We start from the raw sequence: 15,825 nt of genomic DNA, 5'->3' as shown, positions 1-15,825 counted from the left end.
TTGTAGAGATGGGATCTCACTATGTTGCTCAGGCTGGTCTGAAGCTCTTCGGTTTGAGTGATTCTCCTACCTTGGCCTCCCCAAATGCTGGGATTACAGGTGTGAGCCACCATGCCTGGCAGTGCCCTCAGATCCATCAGCAACCTTGATGGAACCCGATCCAGACCTTCTGATGGTGGCCACAGAGCATAATTCCTGCATGGGACTTCATAGTTCTGCTACGTTCCCTTTCACGCTTCGGAGTCTTTGTGGGAGTCTTCCACGATGCTAGGTAGAATTAAGGGAAGATTGTGTGTGTCCTCCCCTGGTTTGGAGCTTGGGATGGGGAGCAGTGTCCTTCAACCCCTGTGTGGTGGGGAAAGTGAGTATTGGCCTCGGTTTCCCCAGGGGATGGTGGGTCTGTGGGGACAAGCATTTGAGGTCTGAGGCTCTGTGGATCCTCCAGGCTTGTAGATTTTCCTCTAGTGTCAGCCCGGGGTTGACACCGGGTTGGGTTGCTTTGGCCTCTGTATGTCAGGAGCGATAGAGAGGCCTTCAACTGGCTTGAGCCAAAGGGCAAGCATCAGCTTACATGGCTGCAAAGTGCCTGCGTGGCACCAGGAATTGAAAGCTGGAATTGTGTGGTCATTGCTCTAAGAAACACAGCAATCATTCTCCCAAAGCCCTCAGGTGATATTTTCAGTCGGCTTCACGGCGTATGCCTATCAATAATTGGCTCATTATCGACTTCCTCACCCTAAGTAATGCAGATAATTGATAAAGCAGTTAAAAAGAAATTATTTAGGCAGATAGTGAGGGTAAGGAAGTCCTCGGTAAGGTTTCCCTTTTAACAAAAAGCAGCCCCCAAATCATTTCTTTTCTAACAAAGAGCAGCCAGTAAAATGGAGCTACAAACATAAACAGGATGGAAAGTTGCATAGGTGAATACCGGCCACTGTGACAATAGGAAAAGGCTACCGGGGGACAGGCATGTTTGACATGGCGGCTCCATCTTCCCTTTTCTTTCTTGACCAAGTGTACAGTAAGGAACAGACAACATGGCGCCAGCCAGGCAGAGACCCCATCTGCATAATAAAAGATTAGGGTTGGGTGACCAGCTTCTCCTGGCGCTGTGCAAACATTACACCTGGTCTGACCAATCTCTTGCGCCCTATGTAAATCAGACACCGCAGCCTCGAGCTTGTCTATAAAACCCCATGCTTCTCACCACAAAACCGGAAGACCCACTCAGGCACCCCTCTATCTCTGCAGGAGAGAGAGCTATTCTCTTTTCCATTCTTTTGCCTATTAAACCTCCACTCTTAACCTCACTCCACGTGTGTCCCTGTCCTTGATTTCCTTGGCAGGAGGCAACAAACTTTGGGTATTACCCCAGAAGAATGACGCTGCCTCACTGATGGCTCCGTTTTTCCAAGGCAGAACCAAATGAAGAGGCCAGGGTGTGTTGAATGACGGCTCCTTGGCTCATTACCCGTGAGCATGTTCATCTGAAGCACGCATGGGCCTTGCTTTCCCAGGGCCTCATTTCAGGGTTCAAAAGACCCTTCAAGTTGGGCTCTGCCTCTTCTGATACCAGCTTTACCCTGGGGCTGCCCACTCCTGACGGCCACACAGCAACCTCCGTCCTGAGCCTGTGTTCTACTGCTAGACCCACAAGACTTGGGTTCAAGTCCATGGGGCGCACCTCCTGCTGAGAGCAGGGTCGGCCGCACCAAGCCACATGGCTGAGGATGGGGGAGGGTGGATTCCCCACAGGGCCCCGGAGGAGACGGGCAGGGAGGGCATGCGTGTTGGTTAAGCAGTCAACAAACACCCACAACAAACATTTTATTAAGAGCCCTTGCTGGTTTCCTCAATAGATTTTCCTTCATAGAATTAAAAGATTGGCTGGGCACCAGTCTTGGGCTCATGCCTGTAATCCCAGCTTTGGGAGGCTGACGCTGGCGGATCACCTGAGGTCGGGAGTTCGAGACCAGCCTGACGAATACAGACAATGAAGAAACCCCGTCTTTACTAATAATATAAAAATTAGCTGGGCTTGGTGGTGCATACCTGTAATCCCAGCTACATACTGAGGAACGAGAATCTCTTGAACTGGGGAGGCAGAGGTTGTGGTGATATGAGATTGCCCTATTGCACTCCAACTTGGGCAACAAGAGAGAAACTCTGTCTCAAAATAAATAAATAAATAAATAAATAAAAATAAAAGATTAAGCCTGGAAAAATAGAATTCTCATGACAAAAATATGTTATTTGGTTGCATCAGGGTCGTGAAATCCGAAATCTACCATTAAGGTCAACAAAGATATATAGGGATCCTAGCAGAATTCTCCTTGGAATCCCTTAAACTCATGTTCTTTAACTATTTCACCAACTTTTACTTAAGGAGAGACTGAACGCTGAGTGGAGAGGGCTGGGAGGAGTCACTGCGTTGGTACTGCTGAGCTTTCTTGTCCCCGGCAACTCAGCTCTGCCTGGGGGTCCAAACCTACCTGGGCGTGAGGGGCAAAGGCTTTGCAGTGAGCCACATCCTGCTTCTGGGAGGGCAGCTGCTAGCCTGGCTTGTGAGCTGAGCTTGCCCCATGGGGCCCTCTCTTCACTCCGGGGGCTCATCCTATGATCATTTCCAGTGGATGATTTTAGCCTCCTGGGGAGGTTTGTGAGTAGATTCTGTTTTCTTCATCTTGTTACCCTTCTGATGATGCGTTTGCTGCCCTTATTATCAGTGCACCCAGCACCTGTCTAGCTGTCACTCTCCAACCCAATCCAGCCCTGGAAACAACTGGCAGGAACCAAGGAGTGGGCGGTAGGTAACTGGGGAGGAGAGGTGAGAAGGAGTCTGCAAGTGTGCGTATTTGTGTGCGTGTGCATGCGTGCATGTGTGCACGTGTGTGTGCGTGTGTGCATCTGTGCGTCTGTGTGTGTGCGTGCATGAGTGTGTGTGCACGTTACTGGAAAGGGATCCCAATCCAGACCCCAAGGGAGGGTTCTTGGCTCTCCAGCAAGAAAGAATTCGAGGCAAATCCATAAAGCGAAGGCAAGTTTATTAGGTAAGTAAAGGAATAAAGAATGGCCACTCCACGGGCAGAGCAGCAGCATGGGCTGCTCAGCAGCTTATTGTTACTTCTTGATTATACGTTAAACAAAGGGTGGATTATCCATGAGTTTTCTGGGAAAGGGGTGGGCAATCCCTAGAACTGAGGGTTTCTCCCCTTTTGAGCCCATGTAGGGTAACTTCCTGATGTCGCCATTTGTAAATGTCATGGTGCTGGTGGGAGTGTCTTTTGGCATGCTAATGCATTACAATTAGTGTATAAAGAGCAATGAGGACGACCAGAGGTCACTGTCATCGCCATCTTGGTTTTGGTGAGTTTGGCCACCTTCTTTACCTCAGGCTGTTTTATCAGCAAGGTCTTTGTGACTTGTATCTCGTGCTGACCTCCTAGCTCATCCTGTGATTCAGAATGCCTTAACCTCCTGGGAATGCAGCTCAGTAGGTCCCAGTCTTATTTTAACCAACCCCAATTCAAGATGGAGTCGCTTTGGTTTGAATGCCTTTGATGTGTGTGTGTGTGTGTGTGTGTGTGTGTGTGTGTGTGTGTGTGTGTTTGGCGGGAGGAACAGAGGAAGGGAAGGTCTGTACCTGGGGTAGATGGCTTCATTTAGCACATACTTCTTCCTCCCCTCCTGCCCAAGGCACCACAGTGGTTGGAGTCTATTCCCCTCTTGCTGACTTCGGGCTTAGCCATGTGACTTTTGTTGGCCAATGAATATGACCAGATACCATATCCGCCACATTGGACAGAGGCTTTACTTGTGCTTTTGTGCTTTCATGGTTTGGCTTGGCCTTTCACCGGGAGAAGAGCATGTCCCAGGAAACCACTGACCCTTCAGGAATCAAACACCCACAGAGCAGACAAATCTAATCCACAACTGGCGCAGAGCTGAGCCTGATGCATGAGCGAACAATACATACTTGAAAACCCCCGGAATCTGGGATTGTTTATGACACAGCATTAGTGTGGCAAAACCCTGACCGACACAGTAGCTGTGTCAGGTGCTGGGGGACAAGGTGCAAGAAGCAGAGGAGGGAAGGACAACAGGGAGTTGAGTTGCAAAGTCCAAACTCTGAGCATGTGCTCTGAGATTCAGATGGTGGCTTCCTGCTGAATGCCACCAGTTCCCCTCCCCTTTATTTCCCTAACAGGTAAATACACCTTTGACATTGTCACAGGTGCTGAAGGAGCTGTGGCTGAGGAGGTGAATTGCAGCACTGCCTGTAAAAGGGGATACCATGTGCACATCCATCTATGGGGGAAAGGATACAATCTATGAGGGGATATTCAAATTCAGTGGAATATGAAACACAGGGTAAATTCCATGGGTTACAACCACATGTATATTCATTTGGACGCATTTCACAAACAACACAGAGCCAGAAAAGCAGGTCGTGGAATGATGTGCTCTGTATAATATTTATTGAGTTTTAAAACCTGGAAAAACCCACATATTGCTTGTGGATGCATACATATGTATTGGAAGCTTGACAACAAACAGTTGAAGGAGAAACACCCAGTGGATGAGAGACGAACCACAGGAGAGGAGGGATGACAGGGCTTAGAGGCAGCTATATGGGGGCCCCAGCAATTCCTATATGGGGGCCCCAGCAATTCCATGATGCTTTATTCCTTAAAAAAAAGAAAAACAACAGAGAGATTTGAGGAAATGCAACATTCAGCTAAGATGTGATAATGCTGTCTGGGGAACACGGGCATTTATTGCGTTGTTCTTTTTGTGTGTGTTTGAAATAGTGTGAATAACACTGTTTCCAAGAAAGACATGTCCTTCCTATGTGATGCGTGTGGGGAACAATAGGGGTGAGGTAGAGGACTTGAGGGGTGTGTGGGGGAGGTCACAGGGGCAGAGCTGGGGCTGCTGTGGCAGATTGGGCCCTTAGGCAGCTGCCTCTGAGATGGAGGACTCGGGAATCCTGACTTTGTTCTACTGACAACTGTTCATCTTTAACAAGCCTGGCTGTTACACCTAGATTTTTTTGTTTTCTTTTGTTTTGTTTTTGAGACAGGGTCTCACTCTGTCACCCAGGCTGGAGCACAGTGCTGCCATCACGGCTTACTGCAGCCTCAACCTCTCAGTCTCAGGTGATCCTCCCACCTCAGCCTCCTAAGTAGCTGGGACTACAGGCATGCGCCACCGTGCCTGGCTCTTATTATTATTTTTTTTTTGGAGAGATGGGGTCCCCCTGTGTTGCTCAGGCTGGTCTTGAACTCCTGGGCTCAAGTGGTCCTCCTGCCTCAGCCTCCCAAAGTGCTGGGATTATAGGTGTGAGACACCATGCCTGGTTTTAGTAGCATTTAAAAATGTTTAATTTGAAAACACGTCCAAACCTATGGAAAAGTCACAGGAACAGAACAGCGAACAGCCACACACAGACCCTTCTCCTAGGTCCCTTGCTTGTTAACATACGCGTTCACCAGAGTGTCTTCCAAGGTCCTTTCAGGAAGCCTCTCAACCATAGTAAGTTGCCGGCAGCGTGATATTTATCCTTAACTATTTCAGCACGTGTCCCCTATGAACCGAGGCATCTTCTTCTATAATCACAATAAGGTGATTGAGTTCAGGAAGCTCAATATTGATTCAACACTATTATCTAAATAATCTACACTTCACTGTTCAATACTAGGCCATCCAGCAACATTTTCTATAATTCAGGCTCCAATCTAGGATCCTTCACTGTATTTCAGAATCATATTAAATATCTTTTCTTTTTTGCTGAGATGGGGTCTTGCTATGTACGCCGTTTGGGCTGTTCTTGAACCCCTGGCCTCAAACCATTTTCCCAAAGTGCTGGGATTACAGGCTTGAGCCAGTGTGCCTGGCCTAAATATCTTTTTAAAGGAACAGTAGTTCGTGTTTTTTTGAGATTTCTTCATGTTTTCCAGATTTAACTCATGTGAACTCTCTGCTTGGAAACAAAAGCTTTTCCCAACCCAGCGTTAGCTTGGACCAATGCTGGGGGCGCCCAAGCCCAGAGTCCTCCCTTGTCTCTAGCCACCCTCTTCCATCTGCACCCCAGGGAGCCTCTGCCTCGCTCAGGACACTAACGGTGATTTGGGGGGAGGTGGCACGTGGCCTTCTGGTTCTCAGGCCCAGCTTTCTCCACATGCAGCTGCTCAAAGCGCAAACTCTCTGTTGCTAGGAGCTCTGGACTCACCAGGGAGTTGCAGCTAAGCTGGCTGTTGCACAAATACAAAAATATTACAATTAATGGAAAAATATTTGTACCATATATAGCAGTTTAATGGCCATATTCTTAAGACCCCCCAAAAAATTACAAAGCAGCAAAAACAAAATTAACCCCACTTTTAAAAAATGGGCAAAACACTTGAGCTAGCAGTTTACAAAGAACCATAAATGGCCCATAAATAGTCACTCGTTCCAGTAGGAACTAAAGAAATGCAAACGAAGTCAACAAAGAGATCAGTTTTTAGGTCTCATTTGAAAGGATGGCGTTGGTCCCCAATGTTGGTGAGACTGCAGGGAAACAAGCCTTATCCCAACCTGCTGGTGGGATTTCAAATGTGTATCTTCCTAGGGGGTCAGATTTGGCAGTCTCTATCAGGGCTTTCCAATCATTTAGTCTCTACAAATGTACCTTTAGGAAATAATTCTAGATGTGTTCAAAGAGCTTCACGAATGTTCACTGTCTGCTACTTATAATAGTGAACAATTGAGTTCAACCTAAAGGTCCAATAAAAGGGGATCACTTAAATAAATGGTGACCCTTCCACACAATGAAACACTTTGTACATTTACACAATGATAGAAAAATGTTTACTAATTAAGAGAGTGTTCACAATTTATATTGTTCAGTAAAAAGGGAGATTAAATACAAAACCGTATGTATAGTATAATTCATTTTGGTAAGAAACAAGAAATTTCTTACCAAAGAAGAAATACTTAAATAGAATGTCCATAAACCTTAACAGTGGTTATCTTTTCTTTGAAATAGGGTCTACATTACCCATTTTTGGCTGGTTTTGAACTCCTGGGCTCAAGTTAGCCTTCTGCCTCAGCCTCCCAAAATGCTGGGATTACTGGCGTGAGCCACTGGGCCTGGCCTTTAACAAACTTTTTTTTTTTTTTAAAGGGGTAATAAAGGTTGTTTTTCCACTTTCTTTGGAAACTTCCAGTCTTTTTCAAAATTAGGAAAGGATCTGGTTGTACAGTGGATAGTGTAAATTCTACCAGGGAGGTACACCAGATTACTAAGTGAGAGGCTGACACATAAGCCTAGAACGGTCTCCTTGCACATCTCACTGAGGGTTGTGGCCTATGTTCTAAGTCCAACAAAAAGGAAACTCATCTGCTCAGCAGAGTATTCATTGCATGATAAATTGAATGTAGCCACTGAAAATATTCATGCAAATATCTTCATTAGTAAAATCATGCAATTAACCTGAAATATGTGCTAAATGAAGCAGCCAAATTGTTGCATATTTTCCCAGCTCTTAATTATAATTTTGGTAATCAATTTTTCTCCTGATTACCAAAAAGAAAAAAAAAAAAGACCCTTCAACGTATGCATGATCCGAGGATGAGCTGGAACGTGAGATAAAACCCTGAATCGTTATAGCAAAGGAGGCCATTAACCTTTCCTGTGTTTTTGTTCATTGCAAGCATTTCCTGCTAATGCTCATTGCGGAAGAAGATTGGATTTTAACAAGAGCTTTTTGGATCAAGCATCAGCCCTTCCTGAACTCTACGTTTTGCAAGCGCCACCGTCATTAAAGGTTACCAGCACTTCCATTATCATCTTCCCAGCGTTTATTTCTTAAATGGCTTTTGACTACAGTGTAAAAATTTTCCTTAAGTGAAAACTGGCATCCAATCTCTCGCAAGCCCAGACATGCAGATGGCCAAAAATGCCACAGGGCCACATTAAAAAAAAAAAAAAAAAGCAGGGTGGAGGACAATGAGTCCTAATAGACAGATCCCCTGTGCTCTCTGAATTCTTGTTTTCCCATTTACTGAGCAGTTAGTGGATTTGGAGGTGGGAAGAGCCTCACCCTATAGCATTTCACAAGGTACATTAGGAGGAGCTGCTGAGCCATGGGGTAGCTCAATTTCTACATCTGTAAAACGAAATGAAGCACGTGAGGATTGAGATGAGTAAAGTCTCTAGCATATGTAAAAGACAAAATATATTTGCCAATATTTAAGTTGCGACATTTTAACTTCCCCTTTTTAACAGGTCCTCCATGAAGCAGTCTACCTCCTCAGGCTAAACCGGGAAGGTGTCACCCTTGGGACAGAGTGGGTACTTGATCTCTCTAGTAAGATGTTGTTTTTCACCACTTGACCTTAGAGATCCTCCCAAGATGCAGAAATGCTTAGTTCTCAGTCATGAGAGTAGAGCTGGGAGGAACACAAACATATTAGACAAAGAAAAGCCAGGAAGGCAGGGCCCGGGCATACAGGTTGCACACTGTGCAAGGATCTCATGTAAGGGGCACCTTTCATTCATGGCAGAGACACTGTAGATTTATAGATTTGTCCTGACAGTTTTCTAGATACAAAATAAATAGAGCAATTTTTCTTCCAGATAGAAGTAAAGTGTCCTGAGGAAGGAGGTGCCTGTTTCTAAATTGCACCAAGATGCTCATAGATTAACTGCAGCCTGGGGAAGCCCTCTGCTCATGGCTCCCAAAGTTTGTGGGGTGAACAGACCTGGAGGGAGCAGAGGGGAAGAGTGGATGTGTGGGTCTTGCTAGGTCTCTTGGAGAAGACCCCTGGTAGGGAGTTGGGAGGGAGCCTGAGGGGGAGGGCTTCTTTTCTGGTTCCTGTTTAGTTCTCTGCTATCCTGACTGCACTGATACGGAATTTAAGAAGAAATTATTGGCTGGGCACGGTGGCTCACACCCATAATCCCAGAATTTTGGGAGGCGGAGGTGGGCGGATCACTTGAGGTCAGGAGTTCGAGACCAGCCCGGTCAACGTAGTGAAACCCTGTCTCTACTAAAAATACAAAAATTAGCCGGGTGTGGTGGCGGGCACATGTAATCCCAGCTATTCGGGAGGCAGAGGCAGGAGAATTGCTTGAACTGGGGAGGTGGAAGTTGCAGTGAGTTGAGATCATGCCACTGCATTCCAGCCTGGGTGACAGAGTGAGATTCCACCAAAAAAAAAAAAAAAAAAAAAAATTATTTAGGCAGATACTAAGGAAGGGTAAGGATGTCCTTAGTAAGGTTTTTCTTTTAATTAAAAGCAGCAGCCCCCAAATCATTTCTTTTCTAACAAACAGCAGCTTATAAAATCGAGCTGCACACATAGAAAGGCAGGCTAGAACCTGGCATGGTGCATGCCGGTAGCTGTGCCAGTAGGAAAGGGGTTACCTGGGTCTACGCATGTCCAACATGGCGGCTCCGTCTTCCCTTCCCTTTGCCAGCCAAGTGTACAGTAAGGAGCAGACAATATGGCACCCACCAAGTGGAAAGCCAATTTGCTTAATAAGATTAGAGTGGGATGGGCAGCTTCCCCAAATGCTGTGTAAACATCACACCTGGTCCAACCAATCTGTGGGCCCTCTGTAAATCAGACACCCCCTCCTCAAGCCTGTCTATAAAATCTGCTGCATTCTGCTGCAGGCCAGAAGTCCCATTCTGGTGCCCTTCTCTTTTGCAAGGGAGAGAGCTGTTCTCCTTTCTCTTTCTTTTGCCTATTAAACCTCCACTCTTTGTTGTTGTTGTTGTTGTTGAGACAGAGTCTCGCTCTGTCGCCCAGGGTGGAGTGCAGCGGTGCCATCTCGGCTCACTGCAACCTCCGCCTCCTGGGTTCAAGTGATTCTTGTGCCTCAGCCTCCCGAGTAGCTGGGATTACAGGTGTGCACCACCACACCTGGCAAATTTTTGTATTTTTAGTAGAGTTGGGGTTTCACCATGTTGGCCAGGCTGGTCTCAAACTCCTGACCTCAAGTGATCCGCCTGCCTCGGCCTCCCAAAGTGCTGGGATTACAGCTGTGAGCTACCATGCCCGGCCTGAACCTCCTTGTGTGTGTCCATGTCCTTAATTTTCTTGGCATGAGGCAAGGATACTCAGGGATTACCCCAGACAAGGACACCGCTTCAGCATCAGGGAGAAGTCAGTAATGGAGTGAGACTAGGAGGGGAGGCCTCGCATATCCAGCAGGCCCCTGGCAGGAAACCGATGGCTCATACCAACTGGGAACTTGACCGTGCGTGGGCAGAGCAAGAGAAGGCTGCAGGGGGCCACAGGGCCTAGGGCCAGCAAAGGCAGGAGCCACTGCTGCTCCCAGGCCTGAGAGTGGCGGGTGGTGCTGGGCAGACAGGCTCCCGATAGGTGCTGGGCCCTGGGGAGAGGACCCAACAGTGGGGGAATCAGAAAATGAGGACAGAACCGAAGGCCCTGTTCTCCCTCCTTTTTGCCTTCAGCTGGTGCTGACCATTGGCCAAACTCAACTGGAAGCCACAGGCAGAAGTGTCTGGGCACCGGGCTCGGGGACAGGGGAGGACACTTCTCTGAAGGAGGCAGGGATTACTCGGCGTACCTGATCCTGGCTTCACTGGTCTCCTCTTGGTTCCCAGGTAGAAAGGGTCAAGGTGACCCTTAGGCAGAGGCTGGGTATAGGCTGGTCTGGGACAGGGAAGCAAATGGAGGACGTGGTGGAGACTCACAAGAGACTTCAGTTTGGAGAGGGCTGAGGTGAGACTGAGGCAGCCATGGGGTCTCTTGGGTCCCAAACAAACCCATCTCGGGAGCTTACCCCAGCCCCCAGTTCACACGATGGAGGCCCACGGGGCTCTCGGCACCGCATCATGGTCACCGCCTGGACCTGAGAAGTGCTTCCCTCTGCTGTCAGGGGTACCATGGGGGCCCCTGGTCTCCCAAACACCCAGACCGCATCTCAGGGAGGGGTGGGCAAGCAGAGACGGAACTGAGAGAGGCTGAGCACGGCCAGCGGCCAGCTGTGTGTGACCTGATTCAGCAGCTGGGACAAAAGGCAGTTTGTTCCATGATCCCTGAGACGGGGCCTTGGGAGAGACCAGATGAATTCTACAGAATATGAGGAAGTGGGTGGTCAGGTACAGAAATCTGAATCCCACTATATATCTATGTCTTAAATATATGTATTTTTTGATCCCATTTGTGTGTGTATGCGCGTGCACTCACACACGAGAGTGAAAGGGAGAGAGAGAGAGACAGACAATTAAGGCAATCCCTTCTCTAGTATTCAATCCCAGAAACTTAGATGATTATGGTACCCTATTAAAATGGAGTATCCTAGAACCATGAAAAATCCCATTTCTCAAAAATATTACAGACCAATAGCACTTGTAATGATAGATGCAGAAGTCCTTCATAAAATTTTACCAACCAGCATAAAACAACTCATTAAAGAAAAGTCACCAAGGCCAAATAAGCTTTGTTCTTAAGGTAATTTATCGTGGAATAAGAGAAAATATTTAAAGGCTTTAATAATTGAAACAGACAATTTTAAAACATGATTCAACACTCTGTTTTCATAAAATAGTGGAAAAATAGTAAAGGGAGTTTTCCCTTAACACGATGAGGTGTTGCATTTGAAATTCAAATCCAATAGTCATTTACAGAGGTGCAGGGTTCTGTGCTGGGCACTGCACCACGGCATGACCCTGCTTCCCCCTGACCCTGGAGTGATGTACAAAATCCCACTCTGTTTGGCCCAGCACTGTCTCTTCGGTCTCTCCTCCTCCCCTTTTCCCTCCTACTCATGCATCGCGGCATGGCAGGCCTTCCTGCTGCTACTGGTGCATACCAGCCTCACCTCTGTGGCTGCGTCTTTGCATGTGCGGTTCCTCTCTTTAGAACAGCTTCCCCTTGGCCAGATAGCTCCATGACTGGCCCCTCCCTCCTCCCTCCTTCCTCCTTTCCTTTCCTTCTTTTGGTGGAGTTTTGCCCTTGTCGCCCAGGCTGAAGTGCAGTGGCGCAATCTCGGCTCACTGCAACCTCCGCCTCCCAGGTTCAAGCGATTCTCCTGCCTCAGACTTCCAACTAGCTGGGATTACAGGCAGGCACCACCACGCCCAGCTAATTTTGTATTATTAGTAGAGATGGTATTTCTCCATGTTGGTCAGGCTGGTCTCAAATTCCCGACCTCAGGTGATCCGCCCACCTCGGCCTCCCAAAGTGCTGGGATTACAGGCGTGAGCCACCGCGCCCAGCCTGGTTCCCCCATTTCTTTGAGGACTCAGCTTAAATGTCACTGTCTTGCTCAGGACTTTCTTGAGCAACCTATGCTAAAAAAAAAGCATGCAAAGTCTACCCAGCTCCCTCCCAGTGCTCCTCACCTCCCCTCCCTACCAGTCCTCGATGTCACCTGTCATAACCTACAGACCATATAGGGACTCGTTTCTTTATTGTCTGTCTCCCGCTGCCAGAACACGAGGGCCACCAGGCTGGGGACTTTGCCTTTTTCACAGCCGTTTCCCGGGGCCCAGAACAATGCCAGGCACTGCAGTTGCTCAGGGAGTGTCAGTGACATGAGTGAATGAGCAGCTGCCCCCATGGGAGAAGAGGTAATACCTGCAACTTCTCCATTTCAAACCCTTTTGCTTAGGACTTCTGCATACTTGCACTTAAAACACCTTTATTTTTGAAAAGGCAAAACATGCCCATGGTATAAAATTCAAAAAGGCCCTAAGACTTAAGAGTACACAGTAAATATAAACACTAAGCGCCGCCTCATGCAGGCACTTAAAGCCTCTTCCCCTTGCCAGAGTCTGATAGATAGAAAAGGGAAGCTCTTGCATAATTTTCATTTTTTCCACAAGTGAGATTGAGCTTCTCATCTATTTAAGACTAGTGAGTGTTTGTTTTTGTTTTACTGGGGACTGTCTGTTGATAGCCTTGCTTATTTTTCTGCGCAGTTGTCAGTCTGTCTTATTGATTCTGCAGGGTAGGAAAAAGAATTTTCTCTCTGTCCTTCATAATTCTTAGCCGGGACTCCCTATAACAAAAGACAGATGCACAAGAGAAAACAAACAGAAATTTAAAAACATTTATCCCTCCTGTATACGTGGGAGATGACCCAAAGAAACGAGTCGATCTTAAAAAAAAAAGAGTATAAACTTCAGGCTTAAATATCATTGTTTGCTGAAACAAAGTAAGGAGGGTGGGGAAAGGCCCCTTTAAGGTGAGAAGGCCAGGACAAGCCCTGGAAAGCAGAAGCGAGCTTGCGCAGATTTAAGTTGAAGGCTTCTCCGCTGATTCAGAGTCTTAGAGGGAGACATCCTTTCAAATGGAGATTTCCTTTACAAATACCAATTTCTCTTACAAAGGATAATTTTTCAGATCTTTTATGTCTGCAGTTTCTCAAAATAACCAGGTCAAAATAATCCTTATGACAAAGAGGCATATTTGGGTGGCCTATGGCGGTCTCCTTGATTCATATTTTGGGGTGGTGTGTCCTGAGCCTTATCAATTCATACATGGGAGCACTCTTCATATTGAGGAAATCAGGCCTTTTTCACAGTTTGTCATGTTACTGTGTTTATGGTATACGTTTCTGGGCAGAACAGCTTCTTTTTTTTTTTTTTTTTTTTTTTGAGACAGAGTCTTGTTCTGTTGCCCAGGTGGTGCGATCTCAGCTGACTGCAACCTCTGCCCCCACCCGGGTTCAAGTGATTCTCCTGCCTCAGCCTACTGAGTAGCTGGGACTACAGGTGCATGCCACCACACTCGACTAATTTTTGTTTTTTTTTTTTTAGTAGAGACAGGGTTTCACCATATTGGTCAGGCTGGTCTCAAACTCCTGATCTCAAGTGATCCACCCGCCTGGGCCTCCCAAAGTGTTGGGATTACAGGTGTGAGCCACTGCGCCCAGCCAAACAGCTTATTTTTACATCAATCTTGTCTTTTATGGCCTCTGTCAAAAATAAAGTTGTAAGCCTTCCGATCAACTGGATAGACCCTTCCTGTACGCCAAGGGCATTCTAAAGTAAACCTGAAACACTGGTTCAGGTCATGATGGGAATGGGTTGTTAGACATGTGTCACTATACCTTCGTCTCCTTGGGATTCAGGTACAGCTGACCAGCATTAACATTAGAACAGAGACCTTAAGACGGACAGAACAGATGCTTTCAGTCTGACGAGAAACATTTACATGTGGAGCTGAGGCTCTTGCCTGTAATCCCAGCACTTTGGGAGGCTGAGGCGGGAGGATCACTTGAATCAAGGAGTTTAGGATCATCCTGGGCAACATAGTGAGATCTGGTCTCCACAAAAAAATAAAATAAAATAAAATAAAATTAGCCAGGATAGTGGTGCATGTCTGTGTTCTCAGCTACTCGGGAGGCTGAGGTGGGAGGATCACTTGCGCCCAGGAGGTCAAGGCTGCAGTGAGTTATGTTTGAGCCACTGCACTCGAGCCTGGACGACGGAGTGAGACTCTGAAACCTACTACCTGAGGGCTTCATCCACATAATAAGAACCTTGGTCTCCACAACCTTTTTTTTTTTCTTTTTTCACTCTTGTTGCCCAAGCTGGAGTACAATGGCGCGATCTTGGCTCACTGCAGCCTCCGTCTCTCCTAGGTTCAAGCGATTCTCCTGCCTCAGCCTCCCAAGTAGCTGGGATTACAGGCATGCGCCGCTATGCCCGGCTAATTTTGTATTTTTAGTAGAGACAGGGTTTCTCCATGTTGGCCAGGCAGGTCTCAAAGTCCTGACCTCAAGTGATCTGCCTGCCTTGGTCTCCCAAAGTGTTGGGATTACAGGCATGAACCACTGCGCCCAGCCCCCAAAATAAAATTCTAAGCCCTCTGACTGACTGAATGGATCCCTCCTCTCAGCCAAGGGGATTCCAAAGTAAACCTGAAAAACTAGTTCAGGCCATGATGGGAAGCAGGGGTTGGACATGCCTTTTTATGCCCTCCTTCCTTTGGAATTCAGGCACAATGGACCAGCATTAACATTAAAACAGAGATTGTAAGGCTGATCAAACAGACTCTTTGTAGCCAGAAGATACCAAATTCCAACCTGACTCTCGTATAGCATCACATGACAGATGGCAGGCCCTGAAAGAAACGGAAATATTTTACCTCAAAATATATTTTTTGAGATATTCTGAAATGGCCCTGTAAAGTGGTCTTTACATTCTCTAGAGAATTCCCCTCCCTTTCCAGGACTTTTCCTGATTCAGGAGAGATTAACTAAGAGGCTAGCACCTTCTTAGGTCTGATAAGAGCCATTTAACATCTATTCTCTCTGAAGCCTGCTACCTGGAGTCTTCATCTACATAATAAGAACCTTGGTCTCCACAACCCCTTATCTTAACCCAGTCACTCTTTTCTACTGATTTCAGGTCTTTAGCTAATAACTCTTTCAACCAATTGCCAATCAGAAAATCTTTGAATCCACCTATGACGTGGAACCCACTCTCCCACCCCCAGGTCTTTGAGCTGTCCCGCCTTTCTGGATGGAACCAATGTATACATGCATTGATTGATGTCTGCCTGTAATTCCTGTCCCCCTAAAATGTATAAAATCAAGTTGTCGCCCAACTACCTTGGGCACATGTTCTTACGACCTCTTGAGACTGTGTCTCAGGCCCTGGTCACTCATATTGGGCTCAGAATAAACCTCTTTAAATATTTTACAGAGTTTGGCTCTTTTTGTTGACAACTTTATAGTATTCATAAAACTATATATGGTATTTTTAAAAATTGAACAATGTATAAAAGTGCAAAGAATAATAATGCTAATGGAAAGACACTCGCAATCTGCTTCCCAGAAATAGCCATTATTAT

General features: G+C 46.7%; 6 annotated features.

Annotated features, from left to right (window-relative positions):
- Positions 1,060-1,260: a silencer, noted in NCBI's record as "peak2652 fragment used in MPRA reporter construct". NCBI's record gives its function as "represses an SCP1 promoter by STARR-seq MPRAs in K562 erythroleukemia cells {active_cell/tissue: K562}" and the evidence as "EXISTENCE:reporter gene assay evidence [ECO:0000049][PMID:32103011]".
- Positions 8,457-8,956: an enhancer, noted in NCBI's record as "H3K4me1 hESC enhancer chr16:83880399-83880898 (GRCh37/hg19 assembly coordinates)". NCBI's record gives its function as "activates a minimal SCP1, AML or CMV promoter by ChIP-STARR-seq in naive H9 embryonic stem cells {active_cell/tissue: H9 hESC(naive)}" and the evidence as "EXISTENCE:reporter gene assay evidence [ECO:0000049][PMID:30033119]".
- Positions 8,957-9,458: an enhancer, noted in NCBI's record as "H3K4me1 hESC enhancer chr16:83879897-83880398 (GRCh37/hg19 assembly coordinates)". NCBI's record gives its function as "activates a minimal SCP1, AML or CMV promoter by ChIP-STARR-seq in naive H9 embryonic stem cells {active_cell/tissue: H9 hESC(naive)}" and the evidence as "EXISTENCE:reporter gene assay evidence [ECO:0000049][PMID:30033119]".
- Positions 13,436-14,082: an enhancer, noted in NCBI's record as "H3K27ac hESC enhancer chr16:83875273-83875919 (GRCh37/hg19 assembly coordinates)". NCBI's record gives its function as "activates a minimal SCP1, AML or CMV promoter by ChIP-STARR-seq in primed H9 embryonic stem cells {active_cell/tissue: H9 hESC(primed)}" and the evidence as "EXISTENCE:reporter gene assay evidence [ECO:0000049][PMID:30033119]".
- Positions 14,083-14,730: an enhancer, noted in NCBI's record as "NANOG-H3K27ac-H3K4me1 hESC enhancer chr16:83874625-83875272 (GRCh37/hg19 assembly coordinates)". NCBI's record gives its function as "activates a minimal SCP1, AML or CMV promoter by ChIP-STARR-seq in naive H9 embryonic stem cells {active_cell/tissue: H9 hESC(naive)}" and the evidence as "EXISTENCE:reporter gene assay evidence [ECO:0000049][PMID:30033119]".
- Positions 14,731-15,378: an enhancer, noted in NCBI's record as "OCT4-NANOG-H3K27ac-H3K4me1 hESC enhancer chr16:83873977-83874624 (GRCh37/hg19 assembly coordinates)". NCBI's record gives its function as "activates a minimal SCP1, AML or CMV promoter by ChIP-STARR-seq in naive and primed H9 embryonic stem cells {active_cell/tissue: H9 hESC(naive and primed)}" and the evidence as "EXISTENCE:reporter gene assay evidence [ECO:0000049][PMID:30033119]".

Source organism: Homo sapiens, chromosome 16, assembly GCF_000001405.40.
Source record: "Homo sapiens chromosome 16, GRCh38.p14 Primary Assembly".
NCBI classification, from domain to species: domain Eukaryota; kingdom Metazoa; phylum Chordata; class Mammalia; order Primates; family Hominidae; genus Homo; species Homo sapiens.
This window is presented reverse-complemented; position numbering and strand designations above follow the sequence as displayed.